Source organism: Homo sapiens, chromosome 1, assembly GCF_000001405.40.
Source record: "Homo sapiens chromosome 1, GRCh38.p14 Primary Assembly".
Classification (NCBI taxonomy): domain Eukaryota; kingdom Metazoa; phylum Chordata; class Mammalia; order Primates; family Hominidae; genus Homo; species Homo sapiens.
The window spans coordinates 174,485,861-174,509,924 of NC_000001.11; the positions used below are offsets into that span (position 1 = coordinate 174,485,861).

Genomic DNA, 24,064 nt, shown 5'->3' on the forward strand with positions numbered 1-24,064 from the left:
TTTGTAAGGATTCCTTCCTCCTTTATTTTTCTAAATAGTTTGATTCAGATTGATATTATTTCTTCTTTAAATGTTTGGTAGAAATCAGCAGCGAAGCCATCAGGTCCTGGACTTTTCTTTGCTGGGAAACATTACAGCTTTGGTATTGTTGTTTGTTATTGGTCTGTTCAGGTTTTTGGTTTCTTCCTTGTTCACTCTTGGTAGGTTGGCTATATCTAGGAATTTATACATTTCTTCCAGATTTCCTAATTTATTGAAATTATGTTTGCTCATAGTAGCCACTGTTGATCCCTTGAACATCTACAGCATCAGTTGTAATATCTCCTTTTTCACCTCTGATTCTATTTATTTGGTTCTTTTTTCTTTTTTTTTTTTTTTTGTCTGGCTAAATGTTTGTCAATTTTGTTTAACTTTTAAAAAAACAATTTTTTGTTTCATTGATCTTTTATTCTGTTTTCTTCATTTCAGTTTCATTTATTTCTGCTCTGATCTTTTTTTTTTTTTTAGACGGAGTCTCACTCTGTTGCCCAGGCTGGAGTGCAGTGGCGTGATCTCGGCTCACTGCAAGTTCCACCTCCTGGGTTCGTGCCATTCTCCTGCCTCAGCCTCCCGAGTAGCTGGGACTACATGCACCCGCCACCACACCCAGCTAATTTTTCGTATTTTTAGTAGAGACACGGTTTCACTGTGTTCACCAGGATGGTCTCGATCCCCTGACCTCGTGATCTGCCCGCCTCGGCCTCCCAAAGTGCTGGGATTACAGACATGAGCTACCGCGCCCGGCCTCTGCTCTGATCTTTATTACATCTTTTCTTCTAATTTTGAGTTTGGTTTACTCTTGGTTTTCTAGTTCTTTAAGATACAGTGTTAGGTTGTTTATATGAAGTTTTTCTTCTTTTTTGATGTAAGCTCTTATGTCTATAAACTTTCCTCTCAGTGCTGTATCCTGTAGGTTTTGGTATGTTATATTTTTATTATCTTTTTTACAAGATATTTTTCAATTTCCTTCTTGATTTCCTTATTGACTCACTCATCATTCAGAAACATATTGTTTAATTTCATGTATTTATATAGTATTCAAAATTCCTTGTTACTAATTTCTAGTTTTATTCCATTGTGGTTAGACACTTGATATTTTTTCAGTTCTTTTTAATGTTTTAAGACTTATTTTGTGACTTAACATATGATCTGTCCTTGAAATTGATCCATGTGCTGAGGAAAAGAAGGTGTATTCTTCAACTGTTGAATGAAATGTTCTGTAAATATCTAGTAGGTTCATTTGTTCTATAGTGCAGATTTAACTGATGTTTCCTTGTTGATTTTCTGTCTGGAAGATCTGTGTAATGCTGAAAGTGGGGTGTTGAAGTCTCCAGCTGTTACTCTATTGGGGTTTATTAGAGCTACTCTTTAGCTCTAATAATATTTGCTTTATATATCTGAGTTTTCCAGTGTTGGGTCCATAGATACTTAAAATTGTTATATCCTTTTGCAGAACTGACCCTTTTATCATTATATAGTGACCTTCTTTGTCTCTTCTTATAGTTTTGTCTTGAAATCTATTTTGTCTATTAGAACTATAACTACTCCTACTTTTTTGGTTTCCATTGGGATGGAATATCTTTTTCCATTCCTTTGGTTTTAGTCTACATATGTCTTTTTAGGTAAAGTGTTTTTCTTGTAGGCAACAGATCATTGAGTCTTGTTTCTTTATCCATTCAGCCACTTTGTGTCTTTTTATTGTAGAGTTTAGTTCATTTACATTCAATGTTATTATTGGTAATTAAAGACTTACTACTGCCTATTTGGTTTTGGTTGTTTCGTGGTCTTCTTATCCCTCTTTCCTTCCTTCCTGTCTTCCTTTTGGTTAAGGTGATTTTCTCTGTTGGTATGATTTAATTTCTTGCTTTTTATTTTTTTGTGTATCTGTTGTATGTTTTCTGATTTGAGGTTACCGTGAGACTTGCAAGTAATATCTTATAACCCATTATTTTAAGCTATAACAACTTCACACTGTTTGTATAAACAAGCAAAAAGAAAACTGAGTGAAAACTCTACATGTTAACTTCATCCCCCAGATAGTTAATCTTTTGTTGCTTCTATTTATATCTTATTATACTGCCTGATTTCAAAAATTGTAGTAGTTACTATTTTCTGTTGGCTCATATTTTAATCTTTCTATTTAATATAAGAGAAGTTTATATACCACAGTTACAGTTTTATAATATTCTGTGGGGTTTTTTTCTGTGTATTTACTGTTACTAGTGAGTTTGTACTTTCAGTTTATTTCTTATTGCTCATTAATGTCCTTTTCTTTCTGATTGAACTACTCTCTTTAGCACTTCTTGTAGAACAGATCTAGTGTTTAAGGCCTTTGGCTTTTGTTTCTTTGAGAAAGTCTGTATTTCTCCCTCATGTTTGAAGGATATTTTCACCAGGTATACTATTCCAGGATAAAAGTTTTTTTTTTTTCTTTAGCAGTTTACATATGTCATGCCACTGTCTCCTGGCCCATAAGGTTTCCACTTAGCTTACTGTCTGACTTAGAGCTCCATTGTATGTTATTTGTTTCTCTTCTCTTGCTGCTTTTAGGATACTTTTTTTATCCTTAACCTTTGGGAGTTTAACTATTAAATGTTTTGAAGTAGTCCTCTTTGGGTTAAATCTGCTTGGTGTTCTATTAGCTTCTTGTACTTGGATTTTGATAGCATTCTCTAGGTTTGTGAAATTCTTTGCTATTATCTCTTTGGATAAACTTTCTAACCTTATCTCATTCTCTACATTTTTTTAAGGCCAATAACTCTTAGCTTTGCTTTTTTGAGGCTACTCTGTAAATCTTCTAGGTGTGCTTCATTTTTTTTTCTATTATGTCCTCTGAGTGTGTATTTTCAAATAGTTTGTCTTTTTTGTCTATTTTTATTATTATATTTTAAGTTCTAGGGTACATGTGCACAACATGCAGGTTAGTTACATATGTATACATGTGCCATGTTAATGTGCTGCACCCATTAACTCATCATTTACATTAGGTATTTCTCCTAATGCTATCCCTCCCCCCTCCCCCCACCCCACAACAGGTCCCAGTGTGTGATGTTCCCCACCCTGTGTTGCCAAGTGTTCTCATTGTTCACTTCCCACCTATGAGTGAGAACATGCGGTGTTTGGTTTTCTGTCCTTGCAATAGTTTGCTCAGAATGATGGTTTCTAGCTTCATCCATGTCGCTACAAAGGACATGATTCCATTCAGGACATAGGCATGGGCAAGGACTTCATGACTAAAACACCAAAAACAATGGCAACAAAAGCCAAAATAGACAAATGGGATCTAATTAAACTAAAGAGCTTCTGCACAATAAAAGAAGCTACCATCAGAGTGAACAGGCAACCTACAGAATGGGAGAAAATTTTTGCAATCTACCCATCTGACAAAGGGCTAATATCCAGAATCTACAAAGAACTTAAACAAATTTACAAGAAAAAATCAAACAACCCCATCAAAAAGTGGACGAAGGATATGAACAGACACTTCTCAAAAGAAGACATTTATGCAGCCAACAGACATATGAAAAAATGCTCATCATCACTGGCCATCAGAGAAATGCAAATCAAAACCACAATGAGATACCATCTCACACCAGTTAGAATGGCGATCATTAAAAAGTCAGGAAACAACAGGTGCTGGAGAGGATGTGGAGAAATAGGAACACTTTTATATGGTTGGTGGGACTGTAAACTAGTTCAACCATTGTGGAAGACAGTGTGGCGATTCCTCAAGGATCTAGAACTAGAAATAGCATTTGACCCAGCCATCCCATTACTGGGTATATACCCAAAGGATTATAAATCATGCTGCTATCAAGACACGTGCACACGTATGTTTATTGCGCCACTATTCACAATAGCAAAGACTTGGAACCAACCCAAATGTCCATCAATGATAGACTGGACTAAGAAAAATGTGACATATTTACACTATGGAGTACTATACAAATAGTTTATCTTAAAGGTCACTAATTCTTTCTTCTGCTTGATCAACTGTATTTTTCAAATCCAGAATTTCTGCTTTATTCTTTTTAATTATTTCAATCTCTTTGTTCAGTTCATGTGATAGAATTTTGAATTCCTTCTCTGAGTTATCTTGAATTTCTTTGTGTTTTCTCAAAACAGGTATTTTGAATTCTCTGTCTGAAAGGTACCATGTGTCTCTTTCTCCAAGAGTGGTCCCTGGTGCCCTATTTAGTTTGTTTGGTGAGGTCATGCTTTCCTGGATTATGTTGATGGTTGTAGATATTCTTTGGTGTCTGGACATTGAAGGGTTAGGTATTTATTGTAGTCTTCTCATTCTGGGCTTATTTGTAACGGTCTTTCTTGGGAAGGCTTTCCAGGAATTCTCAAGTACTTGGGTGTTGTGATCTAAGCACTGCCTGCATGAAGGGGCACCCCAAGCCCGGTAACACTGTGGTTCTTACAGACTCATAAGATGCCGCCTTCGTGGTCTTAGATAAGATCTGGAAGAGTTCTGTGGATTACCAGGCAGAGACACTTGTTCTCTTCCCTTGCTTTCTTCCAAACCAACAGAGTTCTCTCTATGTTGAGCTGCCTGGAGCTGTGGGTTGATACAAGTGCCCCTGTGGTTACCACCACTGGGATTGCACTGGGTCAGACCTGGAGCCAGCATAGCATTTTGTCTCACTCAAGGCCCAGTATAACCACTACCAGGTTATCGCCTATGTTCTCTGAAGGCCCTAGGGCTCTACAATCAGCAGGTAGCAATGCCAGAAAGTCTTGTGTTTTTCCTTTCAGGGTAGTGAGTTCCCTTAGGCCCAAATGGGTCTAGAGTAGCTGTCCAGGTGCTAGGGACTAGAATGAAAACCTTCTAAATCTACCTGATGTTCCATTGTACTGTGCCTGAGCCTAAGCCACGAGTCACGGTTTTTCCCGTTCTTCCCTCCTCTTTCCACAAGCAGAGGAGCCTCAGCCCACGGCCATCACCAACACAGGCCCATGGGGAGTACTGCCAGGCTTCCACCAATGTTCATTTAAAGCCCAAGTGCTCTTTAGTCAGCTTATGGTGAATGTTGCCTGACCTAGGACTCACCCTTCAGGGTGGTGGGCTCCCCTCTGGCCCATGGCAGACTCAGAAATGCCATCTAAAAGCCAAGGCCTGGAATCGGGGACCCCAAGAACCTGCCTCATGCTCTATCTCCCTGTGGCCTAGCTGGTACCTAAGATGCAAGACAAAGTCCTGTTTACTTTTTCCTCTGCTTTCTTCGAGTAGATGGAGTCTGTCATCATAGCTACCACAGCTGGGAAAGTGCTGTGTCTCACCTGAAGCCAACATGTCTCAGAGTCTCACCCAAAACCCATGGCATACTCCATGAGTATTGCATTGGTTATTCAGGGCCAAAGGGTTCTTTAGTCCACAGGTGATGGGATCTGCCATGACTGGGTACTTCCTTTCAAGTCAATGCGTTCCCTTCTGGCTGAGGGAGTTTCTCAAAATACTTTCTGGGAGCTAAGGCCTGAAATGGGGGTCTCACAACATTGTCTGGTACCCTATCCTACTGTGGCTGAGCTGGTATCCAAGATGCAAGTTAAAATCCTCTTTACTCTTCCCTTTCCTCTCCTCAAGCAGAAGCAAGGGGTCCCTTTTGGAGCCACAAGGGGTCTCTTTTGCAGCCTGGAGCTGGAGGAGGGTGGTGCAAGCACTGTATTAACCATTGTGTCTGGTGTCTCAGTAAGTTACATGTCCCCCCAGTCCACTGGCTCTGACACCAGCCCAGCACAAGGACTCACCTACGACTTAGAGTCCTTATGGCCTAGATTGCCTTTCAAGTTTATTTAGGTGCCCAGAGCACTCCATCCTGCAGTGGCAAGGCTTGCTGGAACTCAGATTTTGACTGCTCAGATGGGTGATTCCCATCTGGCTAGAGCCAGTCCATATGCTCCTTCCATGAGTGGCTGTCAGCTAAGTACAGCCTGGTTCTGCTTTTGCTATGACAGGACAGCACTGAATTAAGTGCAGCGTGTCACAATCACTGCATTCTTTCTCCCCAGATGCACAGATTCTTCTTGCCATGCAGCCACTGCTGGGGGATGAGGGAATGATTGTGTTGGCAGTTCAAGACTTTTTCCTGCCCTATTCAATGCCTCTTTCTGTAATATTCAGTTAAAACCAGGTAGTGTGAATGCTTACCTGATTTTTGGTTCTTAGAAGGTGCTTTTTTGGTGTAGTTAATAAATTTGGTATTCCTCTTGGGAAGACAATCAGTGTAGCTTTCTATTCCGCCATCTTGCTCCACCCTCTATGTCGAATTACTTTTTTTTTTTTTTTTTTTTTGAGACAAAATTTCACTCTTATTGCTCAGACTGGAGTACAGTGGCATAACCTTGGCTCACTGCAACCTCCGCCTCCCAGGTTCAAGTGATTCTCCTGCCTCAACCTCCCGAGTAGCTGGGATTACAGGTGCATGCCACCACGCCTGACTAATTTTTTTTTTTTTTTTTTGAGATGGAGTCTCGCTCTTGTCGCCCAGGCTGGAGTGCAGTGGCACGATCTTGGCTCACTGCAACCTCTGCCTCGCAGATTCAAGCGATTCTCCATCTAAGCCTCCTGAGTAGCTAGGTTTACAGGCACATGCCACCACTCTCGGCTAGTTCTTTTGTAATTTTAGTAGAGACGGGGTTTCACTGTGTTAGCCAGGCTGGTCTCGAACTCCTGACCTCAGGCGATCCGCCTGCCTCAGCCTCCCAAAGTGCTAGGATTACAGGCATGAGCCACCGTGCCTGGTCTACTTTTAATTCTTCAAATGCACTGTATTCTTATCTCCACCCACCCTGCCTCAACTGTACTGTCCCTATTCCTCCTCTCTTACACAAATAATACTTCCATTACATGAAGGCTTTGTTCTCCTTCCCTTTGAATAAGTCCTACGGATTTTAAAAATTTTGATTTAAATCTTAAGCCTTTTGTGAAGGGTTTCTTCCTTCATCACTCACTGCCTTTCCTTCCCCTCTTCCATATGTATAAGCAGGTATACTCACTTTTTGTTTCCATAGCACCTTGTACTTCCACCGTAGCCTTAATACATTGCAGCATTATTGTCCATTTAATTATCTTTTTCATTAGGCTTTAAGCTCCATGAGGTTAGGGACTATGTCTCTTTTTCATCATTGTTGCATTCCCAGGCTTGGCATAATGTATATTTTAATAAATATTTAGACCAGGCACAGTGACTCACACCTGTAATCTCGCACTTTGGAGGCTGAGGCAGGAGGCTTGCCTTAGCCCAAGAGTTTGAGACCAGTCTAGGTAACATACTAGATCCTGTCACTGCAAAAAGTTAAACAAAATTTTAGCCAGGTGTGTTGGTACATGCCTGTAGTCCTAGCTACTTGGGAGACTGAGGTGGGGAGGTGCTTGAGCTTAGGAGTTTGAGGCTGCAGTGAGCTAGAATCACACTACTGTACTTCAGCCTGGGCAACAGAGCAGAGAAAAATATATAAGAAAATTTATATCTAGAATAACACTCATGAAATTTACTAGTAATCTCAGATGTGTCCAAAATAATACTCTCAGTCTAGGTAGATATGAATATTGTTTTTAGGTTGTTTATTAGCTCATTTGTTGAAGTTCATAGCCCTACCCAATATTAAAGTTGATGATAATTTTATAGGCTTGGCCAGATGTGGTGGTTCATGCGTGTAATCCTAGCACTTTGGGAGGCTGAGGTGGGTGGATTGCTTGAGTCCAGGAGTTCAAGACCAGCCTGGGCAACATGGCAAAACTTTGTCTCTACTGAAAATACGAAAAATCAGCCTGGCATGGTGGTGTGCACCTGTAGTTTCAGCTACTTGGGAGGCTGAGGTGGGAGAATCACCTGACTCCGTGAGGTTGAGGCTGCAGTGAGCCGAGATCATGTCAGTGCACTTCAGCCTGGGAAATGGGAGTGAGACCCTGTCTGAAAAAAAAAAAAAAAAAAAAGTATAGGCAGAATGTAACCTCCTGTAACAGCAAAATCTACTTTTAAGTAAGGTATTTGAGGTTTATCCAGAGTTCAAAGTTGACATCTTGACATTGTTTCACATTTATATTTGAACTTAAATACTTTTTGGCAGTTGCCATTTTTCAGTTAGATGGTATTTTTCAAACAAATAATTTTATTTTTTCTGACTTTCCTTCTTTGGAGCCTAGTAATTTTGGGAGTATATATTTAGAACATCGTGTATAGTTTTTTAAGAAAGAAAATGGCATTGATCTATTTCTTTTGAAAATAATACTCTGTTGGTGGTTTGGAAAGGTTTATGTAGAGGTAAATGGGTTTATGTCTGTTGATGGGCTCCTGCAGATAAAGCCACAGACATCTTCAGCCATGCTGCTTTTGTGTTGATGTTCTGTTTTTCCCTTGGGACAATAGGTGCTGTTCCTTGTAAAAATATGATAGGAAAGGAAATTTGTTCTGTTTTGCTGCTATTTAAAGCACCACAGACCTGCTCAGTAGACTTTGACACTCTATTCATCTCATCCTCCGTTGAATTATTGTTGTTGTTTTATTAGGGAAAAGTTTTCCTTGGAGATAATTCCTACAAAGTAATTATAATTTACAAAGTTTTCTTGGTTTTCCATGTGAAATGAAATTATTTCTGGAGATTTGGGCCTATGAATATCTGGTTTCAGAGTCTTAATCATTAATTGTTTTGCCTCCTATTTAGATGATTAAAGTTAAAGCTAATTTATTTTCTCTGTTTTCATTACTAACGTAAAATTTTTAGGTGGCCAGTAGAAAGAATTCCTAACAGCCAAAATCTCTGGTCTTTTAGAATGTCATTTTAAACCACTTTTCTCTCATCTTCTTATACATATTTGCTCCGACTCTACCTTTCACTGTGGGTTTCATTTACCCTGGAACCTAGGTTACTAGGGGCTGCAGGAAGTACCTGGTGCAGGGAATACTAGTACCCATTCTTTCATAGCCAGGAAAAAGGGGAGAGGGTGTTGGAATATACACAAACAAGTCAAAGTTGGGGAGACTTGAGTGCATCAAGTCGATAAGTCTTTGCCAAGTCCTGCCTACTGAGGGATGCTCAGTTTCTACAGGGCAGGGAAGACACCTTTGGTAAGAAAATAATTTACCTTCTAGCATTGACCCCCTTATCAATCCCTTATCCTCCTTTAGAAGAATTGAATTGCCTGTGGTTAGCTTCTAACTTCCCCAAAGCATGTAGTACTCTGCAGCCTGGGTTGTAAGGCTTATAATGAGTGTTTGCCCTAGTCTGGGGATTCTTTTTACCATAAGTGGTGTGTCTGATGGAAACTGCCTCCCTCTGGAAGATATATATCATGAACTCTCATTGTTTCAGTGTAACTTCTAGTCTCACAAATTCATGGAGTGAAAGTCAGAGAGTGAAATTTAGCTTAGTTTCTATGGGGATGTGAGTAATCTTTAGGGATTATTAAAACAATATACTTTTTTTCCCCCCAAGTTTTCCCTTGCTCCTCTTTTTCTAGCTCTTCCCCCATTCACCTATGGAATCATCTGCATTCATTATTTCAGGAGAGAGGTAGATACAGTCTAAAATGTAGGAGTAATTGCTCAGCTCTGAGACTTACATTTTATAAAAATAAATTCTTATCTTAATGTAAAATACTTCTTCAGGAACAAAATTCAAAAGATCCAAAAGGATCTAATTGTACATAAATCTCCTCCTTCTTTCTCCCCAACCCACCAGCATTCTTTCTCTTTGTCATTCAGTTCTGTATACACAAACAGTACATAGTTTACACTCTTGTACACCTTGCTTTTTTCAAGTAATACCTTTGCTATAGTTCTAGATTGGTACATATTAAACTACCTCATTCTTTTTAATTAGTTATAGTAATCATATCTTACTGGTAGATATTACTTCAGTTCCTCATCTTATGCTTTCACAAATGATGCTGCGGTGAAAATCCCTAGCCACACATCATTTTGCACACATATGAGTTTATCGATAGGATAAATTCCCAGGAGTAGAATTACTAGGTCAAAGACTTATTTTATTTTTTAGAGATGAGATCTTGCTGTGTTACCCAGGTTGCTCTCGAACCCTGGACACAAGCATTTCTCCTGCCTCAGCCTGCCAGTGTGCTGGGATTACAGATGTAAGCCACCACATCCAGCCAAGACTAATATTTTTAACTTTGAGTTTAAATTTTTTTTTCTATGTCAAACTGTAGACATGAAAGTTTAGGGTTTTTTCCTGAAACAAATGAAGATTTTCTAAATTCTAGAAATTTCACAATATGTATTAACAAAATTTGAAAATCTGTACATAATTCCACTATACTCTATGGTGTAGAAAGGACTGAAGATGATACATGGACAATTTTTGCCACATTAGAAGGAAAATCCTTTCCAGTGTTGAGAAGAAGAGCCGTAGGTCAGTGTCTTTATTCCCCTGTATACCTTTTCAGGAGCTGAACTTCAAAAGTAGGAAACAGGGAGGTATTGACAGTGATAGTGATAGTAATAGTGAAAACAGTCAGTTAGGTTCTGGAGAGAATCTGAGAACAGCAAGATTGTCTGAGAAAGACGACCCTCTAAGGGATAGAGAACTTCTAAGAGCACTGGTAGACTGGCCAAAGCCTATAAACAGAGCATGGAGGCTGCAGAATACTTGGACCTTAAAACCAGAAGATACAGCAAAATTTGAGGGCATCAGTAGTGGTTGCCAAGAAGACCAGCCAAATCTCAGTGAACACAACAAGCACAGGATATTTAGTGACCAGGTCAAGTGATAAATATCTCAATTGAAGGCAACCAATTGCCTGACCTACAGCAAGTGAACTAGCACGCGTGTCCTCTCCACCATGACCATGAAACAACTCAGCTTCCTCCTTGTACCTAGTTGCCATCCCAGGAATGAAGAGAGAGTAGAGAGATTCCTTAAAGAAGTTGGACTTTTTATGGAAAGATTGTTTGCCTGAAAGAGACTGCTTTAAACTAGGAGACCAAGTTATGTTTAGTTGGTAAATTTGTGACAACTGCCCATCCTACCCACACCCATCACTATTAGAGAAAATCGATGCTGCAGAGAAAAATGATATAAAATGTAGAAATGAAATTATATATTTCTTGAATGTCTCAGTCATTGTGTATAAATTTTATCACCCTTCTCCAGCATACACACACATGTGCACACACTACTGGGGAGTATCTCTCTAGGTTCTTCTACCACATGTAAGGCATACCCAAGGGTAAATCATATGGCAACATACACAAGTTTCTATATTTTTTCTATTAGCTTTAATATTAATAGAATTTTGTGTGAGTATATAGCAACTTCTGGTTGCCTGTAGCTATCTTTACTGAAATATTCCATCATATCTTCACCATATCACATTAACTTAAATAGGATCTCTTTTCCTTTTATCAAGTATAGTAATAGCTAACATTAGTGAGTGTTTATTATGTATCCAGCACTGTGCCCATATGTAATACTTTGCAAGGATCAATGTGCTGTATATGAGGAAACTGCAAGTTAAGGAACTTCCATGTATACTTTGAAGTTCATTCTCTTAAATAAGGAAGCTATATTGCCTTCCACTGCCTTGCATTTTTGTTTTCAGCCCTGTCCTTCAAAACCTTACTGTGTTTGTGTAAATTCTGTCTTCCCATGTTCCTTCTCCCCCACTCCCTTGTCCCATTTGGTTTTCTGGTCCTTCTCTGTTGCATGAATTCTATTTCCCTCCTTTTATTGCCTGAGGTCTTTCTGGCACACTGATTCTCTGAGCCTGTTCTTATGCTCCTCTTTCCCTCCCACTCTTTGCCCTTTTGTCATTGGCAGCTTCTTACAGATTCCCTTGCTGTTTTTATTTTCTCTCTCTCAGTCCAACAAAGACTGCTTATAAAGAGCAGTGACCTTGTCATTTGAACAAAAGATTCCAAGAACCCTGTGTAGGTTGGTTATTGATTTGCTTAACTGAAGAAACTGATTAGCTACTTCATCTGTTGTTGAGTATCTCTATTAATGTCAGGGAGTTACATGTTACAGTATTAGTAGCTCTGACAGTGACTGTCTTCAAATTAATTTTACTGACTGATTTTATCTCAGAGTTCTTATCTATAGAGTGATCACTATAATACCTCCCAAAAGGAAAGATAAAATCCCTGAAAGTGCATTACCTTAGAGGCTTATTTTAAAACAAGTTTTATTTTTTTATTTCACATTTTTAAAGTTCCAAATTATGCTTGGAAAAGATAATATCATTTAGGCCTTTAAGTTTTTTTTAGCTTTGAATTCACTGATATGTATTTTTCATTTAGATTTGAAATATGATAATTGAGAAGAGTATATTCAACAAAAGAAGAGTGAAGTAATATATGAATGTATATGTAAACCTAACTACATATATTTATAGAAATATGCATATGCTTCCATAAATATTAACCATACGTGATTATGTTTGTAATATTCACATATTGCTTAGGAATGCTAATTAATTAAAAGGTCTTGTTGAATTCAAATTGGTTTTACAAGCTTCATTTTAATGATTTGTTATTATTACTGTGCGACTTTGAAAAACCAGGTCTATTGAACTTATGGATATGGGAAATACATATATTTAAACTGAAACAAAACGTTATTTTATTTTTATTTTTTATTTTTTATTTTTTTGAGAGAGTTTTGCTTTGTTGCCCAGGCTGGAGTGCAGTGGTATGCGATCTCGGCTCACTGAAACCTCTGCCTCCTGGGTTCAGATAATTCTCCTGCCTCAGCTTCCTGAGTAGGTGGGATTACAGGCGCATGCCACCACGCCCGGCTAAATTTTTTTTTTTTTTTTTTGTATTTTTAGTAAAGATGGGGTTTCACCCTATTGGCCAGGCTGGTCTTGAACTCGCGACCTCAAGTGACCTACCAACCTCGGCCTCCCAAAGTGCTAGGATTACAGGTGTGAGCCACCGCGCCTGGCCTGAAACAAAATTTTAATTGTGACTTTTTAGCATTACTTTCTCCTCAAAAAGCCAAGAATTGACTCTTTGATATGTTATCTAGTGAAATAAATTTGATATTATTTTCTTTGATTTCTGTAGAGAATTTTTGTTTATAGTTTAAATTCCTTTTGGATAACATTAGGAATTATTTTAATAAGTAGAGTAGGTTTTCTAATTATTAGTAAGTTGTAATTATTTACCCCCTCATTTTTTTTCAATCTTACAAAAGGCCAAAATATCACAATGAACATATCCAGTAGAACTGGGGGGAAAATTAAAAATGAGTTTCTTTATGCAAAATTGCTACCACATATAATGCATTATGATATGGGGAGTGGCTTACAGTTCATATATTCTTATAGTTTATATATTCTTGATTAAATCTTTTACAGAACTTAGAAATTTAAGTTAAAAACACTTAAATTAAAAAAATTTAAGTTATTTTATGTGGATTAATTTTAAAATTAATAGCATAGTAGAAAGATGATTGTAATCTTCAAAGATTTTCAAATTAGTGTATACCGTTCATATGACTTAGAACATTTAGGAAAACTACAGGTATATTTTGGCATAGAAAATAACAAAATGTGGATTATTGTTTTTACTTTTTTGTTGGATTTCAATTTGATGTTTACAAGTATTGAGGTTATTTTATATAGTATTGGAAAGCTTGGATACCTAGAAACATGGATTCTTAGTGGTGGGTTTTGGCATCAAACACACATTGGCCTGAGTCAGAGCTTCATCCATTTCAAGCAATGTTACCTTGGGCTACCATTCCGAGCCTCAGTTTCCTTGGTTATGAAATGGGAGTGATGGCAATTATCTCAACGAATTATTGTGAAGATGAAATGATAAGATGTTTAGCGCAGTGCCTGGCACTTATTGAGGGTTGGTAAATGGTAGTTGTTGCTAATTGTAGCAATGACAACAGTTCTAGTGTTGTATAGTGTGAGAAAATAAAATCAAATCTGAAACATATATCACATCACTTTCATAGCTTTCTCTCTCTGTTTTCAATTTCTGTTCCTGGGACTCTCTTTTAAGTTCATATATTATAATGTTATTAATTTTAGACCCTAATAACTTCTAAACTGTTTAGAGTCATAGTTATGTAATCATAAACTTTTAGAGCTGAAGGGAATTTGGGGATCATTTAGTCCAAACCTCTTATTTTACAAGAAAGAAAATTATGTTTGGAGTAGTGAAGTGATTTACCCAGTATAAATTACTTGTGGCAGGCTTCTTCTTTTTTTTTTTTTTTTGAGATGGAGTTTTGCTCTTGTAGCCCAGGCTAGACTGCAATGATGCGATCTCAACTCACTGCAACCTCCGCCTCCCGGGTTCAAGCGATTCTCCTGCCTCAGCTTTCAGAGTAGCTGAGATTACAGGCGCACACCACTACGCCCAGCTAATTTTTGTATTTTTAGTAGAGACAGGGTTTTACCACATTGGCCAGGGTGGTCTCAAACTTCTGACCTCAGGTAATCCACCCTTCTCGGCCTCCCAAAGTGCTGGCATTACAGGTGTGAGCCACTGAGCTCAGCCGGTGGGTTTCTTATAAGTGGAACGCTGTTCATTGTACCACATACTGGCCCCCTCAATGTATCATTCATTTAAAGTGTGAGGCTCTGTTAGTTTGATTTGTTCACTTGAGACCCTGTTATGCACTGGGTACTGTGCATGAAATGAGAACTATAAAGTTCCTACCCTGCAGATATTCATAGTGAAAGGAACTGATTGACAATCACAGTAGTGTGATAAGTATTATAGAAGTAGGGTATAGTAAATACAGTTAAACGAAAACAAAGGGATAGGAACCGTAGTTTATTAAGTGTCTATATGACAAGTAACTCCCATACACTCATTTAATGCCATAACCTTCTGATATAGATATTATTATCCATAATTTCTTATTTCATAGCAAAGCTCAGCTCCTGATTGAGAAGGAAGGAAGGAGGCATGGTATCCCTGAGTTCCAGTAAAAAACTCAGTGCTCATGAGGACATGGGCCTTCTATAAAAGATTTGGTAGATATTGGTTGATAATTAAATGGGAGTGATGAATCATTGAGACTGTCTTTTTACCTGCCGCTGACATTAAAGACCAAGTTGCTTTTTTTGTCATTTGTTTTTTACAAATTCATTGCCTTAATTGAGTAGAAGAAACTAAACATTTTCTAATTTCTTAAGAGAATAACCTTAGTGATCTAAACTGAGGAATAAGCATTTCCTGTTGTAAATGTACTTCTCTCAGTTCTCTTAGTATTTCTGGAGTCAAAAATCTAGGGCAAGGCCAAAAGCTTGGGAAAGACACAGAATCTTCCATGCCCTCTGAGACCCTACATTTTCTAAACTTAACTTGATTTTCTCACTTTGTTTACTCTTTTTTTTTTTTTTTGAGATGGAGTCTCACTCTATCGCCCAGGCTAGAGTGCACTGGGGCCATCACGGCTCACTGCAACCTCTGCCTCCCGGGTTCAAGCGATTCTGCTGCCTCAGTCTCCTGAGTAGCTGGGACTACAGGCGACCTCCTTAAGCAGAGAGGGGGTTTCACCATGTTGGCCAGGCTGGTCTTGCACTCCTGACCTAAAGTGATCCATGTGCCTCGGCCTCCCAAAGTGCTGGGATTACAGGCATGAGCCACCGTGCCTGGCCTCACTTTGTTTACTTTTATTACTTGCTTTTCTCCTGCTATGCCTTCGTAAAATCTCTTAGTTGCATCACTGATGGGCATTTAAGGCATTGTGAGAAGATTTAGTTGTTCAGTGACAGTAGTAAGTTGTCATTTTTATTGCTGGCTTAAAAAATAATTTTTGGAAGAGCTGCCATGTACTAACAGTCCATTGCATAACACTTTACTTTTTGTTTTTTTAAAGAGATAGTATCTTTTTATTAACATTTTTTTAAAAATCCATAACTTAGTAGGTGTTAGTGTTTCTAAAACACTTGATTGCTCTTGGTTCCAAATAGGTTTTCAGTGGGGAAAAAAATACCCATTTAGAGAATATTTGATATGGCATATATGCTCTCTTTCTAGGGGAAAATATCCTTCTGGGATTCTTAGGATACCTGTTTTTTTTTTTGACTTTCAGTTTTATAAATAGAGCTGACCTAGGTTTACGGGTTTCTTTCATTTCTAAAATTCTGCTGTTTTACTAGAACTACTATTATCTTTGGAAACTCTTAATTAAAAGAAAGAAAAATATATAATATTAGGCAGAAACCATGAAAATTATAAATAGAAAATTATATTAATTATAATATGCATCAGAATTTGGTGCTCTTTATAGTTACTGAAATGTATATAAAAATAAATTTGCTAACATAGTGAACTTTTTATAAGCAACAAGTATGCAAAAAGTTCATTAATTATTATAAGCAGCTAGAATGCCAGGCAGAATATTAGCAACCAAATTTATATTACATAGGCAATAATTGACAGATTCGTCTCTGGAGAAACTGACTATTCCAAAGGAAAAGAATCCCAAAGAGCTGGCCAGGTCACTACTCCACTGACAATGAGGCACACCCTTGAACAAACCCCACTGAAGTCCACAGAGCTTCTGATCACATTTTTAGTTCTTTTAGTTCTTTAGTATTTAATATATAAAATAGTCTAGAATTACTAGATTTTCAAGGAATACCTTTATTGTGAATGAAAACCAAATAACACAAAACAGAAAAAAAGGAAACTCAGGAAACAACTCAAGAGAAACAGAGATAATGCAGAAGAAAGTACACGGTATATATATATATATATATATGTACATATATGTGTGTATATATATGTACATATATATGTGTGTATATATATGTACATATATATGTGTGTGTGTATATATACATATATGTGTGTGTATATATACATATATGTGCATATATATACACACACACACATATATATATTTATATTCCAGAATATTCCAGAAATTCTTTCAGAGAATATGAGATGAATTAGTGAAACTTTTCAAATGCAAAAATGACACAGTTACTAACTCTAGGAAAAACCAAGCTTGAACAAGAATACATAATTATAGAACATTATATGGCCTAACTGTGAATAACAGATATGTGGTTATAAGACAATAAATAGTGATTAACCTAAATTGGAGATATAATGATATTAGGGTAATAGATGTAGTAGAAGAGAGTGTGTGTATGTGTGTTCATTCATGTGCTTGTGCATACATACATATGTGAGTGCAGACATGACCATGGGCATATGTGTTGGTGGGTGGGTAAGTGCTGTATTCTCATCTTCCATGTTGCGAAGTCAGTAGATAAGGGGTTTGCAAACTATGACCTGGAGTCCAAATCCAGCTGCCCACTGTTACTTCAAAATAAAGTTTCATTGGAACACAGCTACTCCTGTTTATTTACATATTGTCTACAGCTGCTCTGGTGCCACTATGGCAGAGATGAATTGTCAAGAAAGAATCCATATGGCCCACAAAGCCTAAGATATTTACTATCTGGCTACACAATAATTAAAACAAATTTTAAAAATCAGGAAATAGCAGTTCATCATTTAGAAATATACATGTAAGGCCCAGCATGATGGCTCATGCCTGTAATCCCAGCACTTTGGGAGGTCAAGGTGGGTGGACCATGAGGTGAGGAGATCAAGACCATCTTGGCTAACACAGTGAAACCCCATCTCTACTAAAAATACAAAAAATTAGCCAGATGTGGTGATGGGCTCCTGTAGTCCCAGCTACTGGGGAGGCTGAGGCAGGAGAATTGCCTGAACTCGGGAGGCGGAGGTTGCTCTGAGCCGAGATTGCACCACTGCACTCCAGCCTGGGCAACAGAGCGAGACTCCGTCAAAAAAAAAAAAAAAAAGAAATGTAAATACAAAAAAAATCAGTTGTGTTCTATGCAGTAATAAGGAACTATCTAAACAAGAAATGAAGAAAACAATTCCATTTACAATAGCTACAAAAAAATTACTCAGGAATAAATTTTACCAAGGAGATGAAAGACCTCTACACTGAAAACTATAAAGTATTGATGAAATAAATTGAAGAGGACACAAACAAATGGGAATATATCCTGTGTTCATAGATTAGAAGAATTAATATTGTTAAAATGTCCATACTACCTAAAACAATCTACAGATTCAATAGACTCTTTTTTTTTTCTTTTCTTTTTTTTTTTGTGACAAGGTCTGGCTCTGTTACTTAGGCTGGAGTGCAGTGGTGTAATCTCGGCTCACCACAAACGCCGCCTTCAGAGCTCAAGCCATCCTCTCAACTTAGCCTCCTGAGTAGCTGGGACTACAGGTATCAGCCACCATGCCTGGCTAATTTTTGTGTTTTTTGTAGAGTTAGGGTTTCGCCATGTTGCCCAGGCTTGTCTCCAACTCTTGAGCTCAAGTGATGTGCCCACCTTGGCCTCCCAAAGTGCTAGGATTACAGGCATGAGCCAGCACGCCTGGCCAGACTCAACACCCTTTATCAAAATTCCAATAACTTTTTTCACAGAAATAGAAAAAATAACCCTAAAACTTGTTTTAGGATTGTTTAAATCTTATTTGTTTAAATCCTGTTTAGACCCTGAATAGCCAAAGCAAACTTGAGGGAAAAAAAAAAAACCAAACAAATAAAAACAAAGCTGGAAGCATAACACAACCTGACTTCAAAATACAATACACAGGTATAATAACCAAAACGGCATGGTACTGGCACAAAAACAGAACCATAGACCAATAAAACAGAAGAGAGGGCCCAGAAGTAAATACATTTATAGTCAATTGATTTTTGACAACTATGCCAAGAACACACAAGATGGAAAAGACAGTCTCTTCAATAAATGGTCCTAGGAAAACTGGATATCCATGTGCAGAATAATGAAATTAGAGCCTCATTTCATACCATATACAAAAATTCAAGTCAAAATGAAGACTTAAATGTAAAACCTGAAACTGTAAAACTACTAGAAGACAGTGTAGGGGAAAAGCTCCATGACATTGGTCTGGGCAATGATGTTTTAGATATAATTCCAAAAGCACAAGCAACAGAAGCAAAGGTAGACAAATAGAATTGAATCAAATGAAAAAGCTTCTGCACAGCAAAAGAAACAACAGGGTGAGGAGTCATCCTACAGAATGGGTGCAAATATTTGCCAACCATACATCTGATAAGGGGTTAATATCCAAAATATATAAGGAATCAATTCAATTGTAAGAAAACAACCTGATTTAAAAATGGGCAAAATACCTGAATAGACACTTCTCAAAAGAAGACATAAAAATGGCCAGCAGGTATATAAAAAAATGTTCAGTGCTATAAGAGGAATTTGCATATCTTTACAGATTTGGCAGTGATCAAAGCAAAAGTCTGGGAAAGCTCTACAAGCAGAATTCTCCTTTGACTCCTTGAGGAGCCTTACCTTTCAGATTGAGAAAAGCTATAATATGATTTAAAATCCATCTGGCATTTGCTGTTAGATTGTGATTTTTGGTAACAGCAGACAGTGTCAGGTTTTATTTTATTTTCCTAGAATCAGGGTAGTCAAGAATATTTCGTTTACTCTAGCCAGTTCTTTTTCACATTTTGGCCCAAACTTTATTCCCAAAACATTATATCGGTACATATTTTAAAATCTAGCAAACACATGGGCATTTGTGAAGACCTTTTTTTTTTTTGTACAAAATGTGTTCTGAATTTTTGCTTGTACTGAAAAATACTTGAAATAAACACAGGAAGTTGTATACTAAAAAATGCTGAACATCACTAATCATCAGGAAAATGCAAATCAAAACCAAAATGTCACTTCACACCTGTTAGAATGACTGTTAGCAAAAAGACAAAAGATAAGTGTCAATGAGGATGTGGAGAAAAGGGAACCCTTGCACGCTGTTGGTGGGAATATAAATTGGTACAACCATTATGGAAAACAGCATGGATGTTCCTAAAAAAATTAAAAATAGAACCACCATAGGATCCAGTAATCCCAATAATGGGTATATATCCAAAGGAAATGTAATCAGTATGTCAAAGAGATATTTTCATTCCCATGTTCATTGCAGTATTAATCACAATAGCCAGGATATGTCATCAACCTGAGTCCATCAGTGGATGAATGGAAAAAGAAAATGTGAATACATAATGGAATACCATCCAGCCTTTAAAAAGTTAGAAATTCTGTCATATACATAAACATGAATGAACCTGGAAGATGTTATATTCTGTGAAATAAACTAGGCACAGAAAGTCAAATACCACATGATCTCTTACGTGCAATCTAAAAAAGTTGAACTCATAGAAACAAAGTAAAATGCTAACTACCAGAGGCTGGAGGCTGGAGGATTGGGAAGATGTTGGTCAAGGGACACAAAAATTTCACTTTTATAGGAGGAATAAGTTCAAGAGATCTATTGTATATCATGGTAATTATACTTAATGATAATATATTGTATACTTGAACATTGCTAAGTGTATATTTGATATTTACATATTGTCTATAGCCACTCTGGTGCTACCATGGCAGAGATAAATAGTCAGAAAGAGGTTATACGGCCCACAAAGCCTAAGATATTTACTGTCTGGCCCTTTACAGAAAACAACCTTGTGATACACAATAATTAAAACAAATTTAAAAAATCAGGAAATGGCAGTACGTCATTTAGAAATATATATGTAAATACAAAAATCAGTTGTGTTTCTGTGCAGTAACAAGGAACTGTTTGACAAGAAATGAAGAAAACGATTCCATTTACAATAGCTACAAAAAATAGGAATAAATTTAAGCAAGGAAGTGAAAGATCTCTATACAACAAAAAAATGATAAGTATATTAGGTAATGCGTGTGTTAAATAGCTTGATTTATCCACCTTACAGTGTATGCATATATCAAAACATCATGTTGTCTACGCATTGGGTAAAGTGTACACTGCTTGGGTTATGGGTGCACCAAAATCTCTGAAATCACTGCTAAAGAACTTAATTCATATAACCAAAAACCACCTGTTCCCCAAAAACTATTGAAATAATAGTAATAAAAAAAACTCACACCTGTAATCCTAGCACTTTGAAAGGCCAATGTGGTTGGATTGCTTGAGCTCAGAAGTTCGAGTCCACCCTGGGCAACATGGCGAAACCTCATCTCTACAAAAAAAATACAAAAATTAGCTGGATGTGGAGGCGCGTGCCTGTGGTCCCAGCTACTTGGGGGGCTGAGGCGGGAGGATCCCTTGAGCCTGGGAGGCGGAAACTTACCTTATACACCATAATTTTAATTTTTACTTGTCAATTTAAAAAGAATTTAAGGAACAATGTTTGAAAATATGAGAAGAAATAGCTTAATAAATTGACAATGTTCACCTAAAATGAGTAAGAGTCTGAAGTGCAGAGGAATGGGACAGAATACTGCTGCTTTTCATTTAAGCCTAATAGTATAGTACTGTTTTAAAACCATATACATGTATTGCTTTAATACAATTTTTAAAAATTAAATTTAGAAAATTAAGAAAAGGTAGCTGTTAGAATTAGGCTTGTTGGTGTAGGGTTGCCATGTTACACTGATGCATAATTCACCAAATACTGTATTTAAAAATAAAGTATCAGAGATACCATGGAAAAATAAACATATGTTAAAAAAATACCAGTACCTTCAAACACCCTATTCCCTATAGTATCAATTTTTTATTATATGCTTTTTGATATAACTGTAATAGGTAATTGATGCAAATAACCTCCATCTCTTATTTTAGTATTATTAGTGGTTTCAAAACTTCATATAGCAACTTCTTTTTACCATAGCTGCTAATGAGAAGCAAAAAAGAAAAAAAATCAAACCAAAGAAAATTGATTTACTATCTTGTCACACTCTTTTGGTGATGGTAATAAACCAGAGGAGAAAAAAATTAAAGGAGTAGTGAATTGGCTCAAAGTGAATCAGACAAGTACTTCTGAGGGTCAATGAACCCTAAAACCTGATGGTAGATAATAAAATATTGCTGAATTTTGATTTACTATTAAGTATCTTTAATGTACTGTGTTTTATATTCACCAAACAGAGTTATCTTTTCATATAATGCAAGATTTTTAAATGTAAAAACCATGGTTTATTTCGTTTTGTATTCTCTACAGGGTAGTGTTTGGACTCAGTAGGTGCCCAGTAAAGGCATGCTTTAATATGAATGGATTTTCACTACTGAGTAGCTTGTTCTGGTTGATTTTCAAAAGAGTCTTAAATTTGTAAGTGAATAAAAAATTATATGAGTATTATGAGTGTTCAAACAAATGGAAGCATTTCTTTTCCCTGATTTCGCATAATGTGTATGATTTGTGCTAAGTGATAATAAAGACCCTTCCGTTTTTCACTCTTGGAAGAGAAACCCTTATCTTCTCTACAAACAATTTCAGGTTGTTGTTGCTGTAAAACAAGCCCTGAGACCTGTTATCGACTCATTGTTATTTTTTCTATTTTCCACCATCCTGTGAGAGAACATCTTTTTAATGTGGTTTTATACAGTCTTCAGTGTGTCTCAGATATGGGTTTAGTAAATCTGTTAAGTACTTTTGTTTGTCTTCTGTTTTTTCTCTGAACAATACAGTTATGCAATTTCCTTTGTTATTAAATGTCAGGATTATTTTCTTATTTATCAACCCTGTAGTTTTCAATCATTTCTGCCATGTTCTTTTTGGAAGACTGTTGATTGCTTTTTAGCTAAATGGTACCACAGCCAGAGAAAAAGTGGCTAAGATCTGATGACATTTGATGAATTGGTATGTCATTTGCAATTGTGTATTCTACCCAGTTCCCTATTTGAGAGAGGTGTTTTCTCCTGGAAGTGCTAGAGAAATTGTTATAGCATAATTCCTTAGAAAAATTATTCATAGTAATGTATCCGTGAGACACATCTAGACCAGGGATATCTCATGGAAATGATTGTCCTTTCTGAACAAGTGCCACATGTTTTTATTTGTAAACTTATTTTCTTCTCATCCTGGAAATAATGATATTAAAAACATTGTGTGACTAGTGATCTATGACTCTGATATACAAACAATGCCTATTTTATTGTTTCTGTATAATAAGCAAGTCCTGTTGTGTTCATTTAGCTAGAAATGAAAAAAAACCCAGCACACCTGCATTTTGCATTTAATTAATTTATGGTGGTGTAGTATTATACCGTCTTTTAAAAACTACTGGCAAATTTTAAATGTGCAGTGCACTATATAAATAGGAATGAGAAGAGTCTATTCATGGCAAGGTAATTAGAGCATCTTTGGCTAGAATATCTCTGAGTAAAAATAGCTAGTCTCAATGTTGGAGTAAGGTAATTAAGTCCTGAAGAATAATGATGAAAACCTTTTGCTCAGATACCCTTTCTTCATTTAAGTTCAATGCCGTACATTCAAATAAAATCTGTGTAATCAAACTAGCCCATTAAGTACTACTGAGTGAGATAAATTGTAATACCTATTCTATATCCTTGCAAAAGGGAAATGCATGTTATCTAGAAACATAACAGCTTATAAATTAAAAACATTCATTTTTCTTCTCTTTTGTCTTATATCAACTTTTTGTATATTTATATACATAATCACCTAACTCCTACCTCCTCTTCTTTCTTCCTTCTTCCTCAGGTAATGTACAATAATACATTATAGTAACCAAAATCGAGATTGCTGGATTTTTTTTATGTTCTTAGCTCTCTGACAAAGAGAGCTTGCTTGCCCTTTTTCCCCCCAAATCTTAAATATAGGCATCTTTCAATGAGTTGTCTCAGTCCCATTTTTTCCCCCTGTAATCCATGCCTTGGTAAACCTTTATTCCTACCACAACACTTTATGCAGTGATTCCCAAACATATATTCCTGGTCAAGTCTCTTGGACTCCAAAATTGTATTTCCAGCTGTTGCCTGGATTTCTATATTTGAAATGTAATGACATCTTAAACTAAATGACTTCAAAGTCAAGAATCATTCTCTAGTCCATCTAATCATCCCACCTCCTCTTCACACAGCCTTCACTACCTCAGTTCATGACACCATCAGTCACTTTTGAACAACTTGCCGCATTTTACACATCCAACTAAAGTCATGTCCGTTCTACTTATGTAACATCATCAAATTCATCTCCT

General features: G+C 36.9%; 1 protein-coding gene across 12 annotated transcripts in view, besides 1 other annotated feature; it reads left to right on the forward strand.

The window, feature by feature from the left end:
* RABGAP1L (RAB GTPase activating protein 1 like) overlaps window positions 1-24,064 on the forward strand; it is an 835,789-nt gene that overhangs the window by 326,341 nt on the left and 485,384 nt on the right. The window lies entirely within an intron of this gene.
* Window positions 17,690-17,879: a silencer, noted in NCBI's record as "fragment chr1:174472688-174472877 (GRCh37/hg19 assembly coordinates)". NCBI's record gives its function as "represses an EF-1alpha promoter that drives an FKBP-Casp9 reporter gene in an ReSE screen in K562 erythroleukemia cells {active_cell/tissue: K562}" and the evidence as "EXISTENCE:reporter gene assay evidence [ECO:0000049][PMID:32094911]".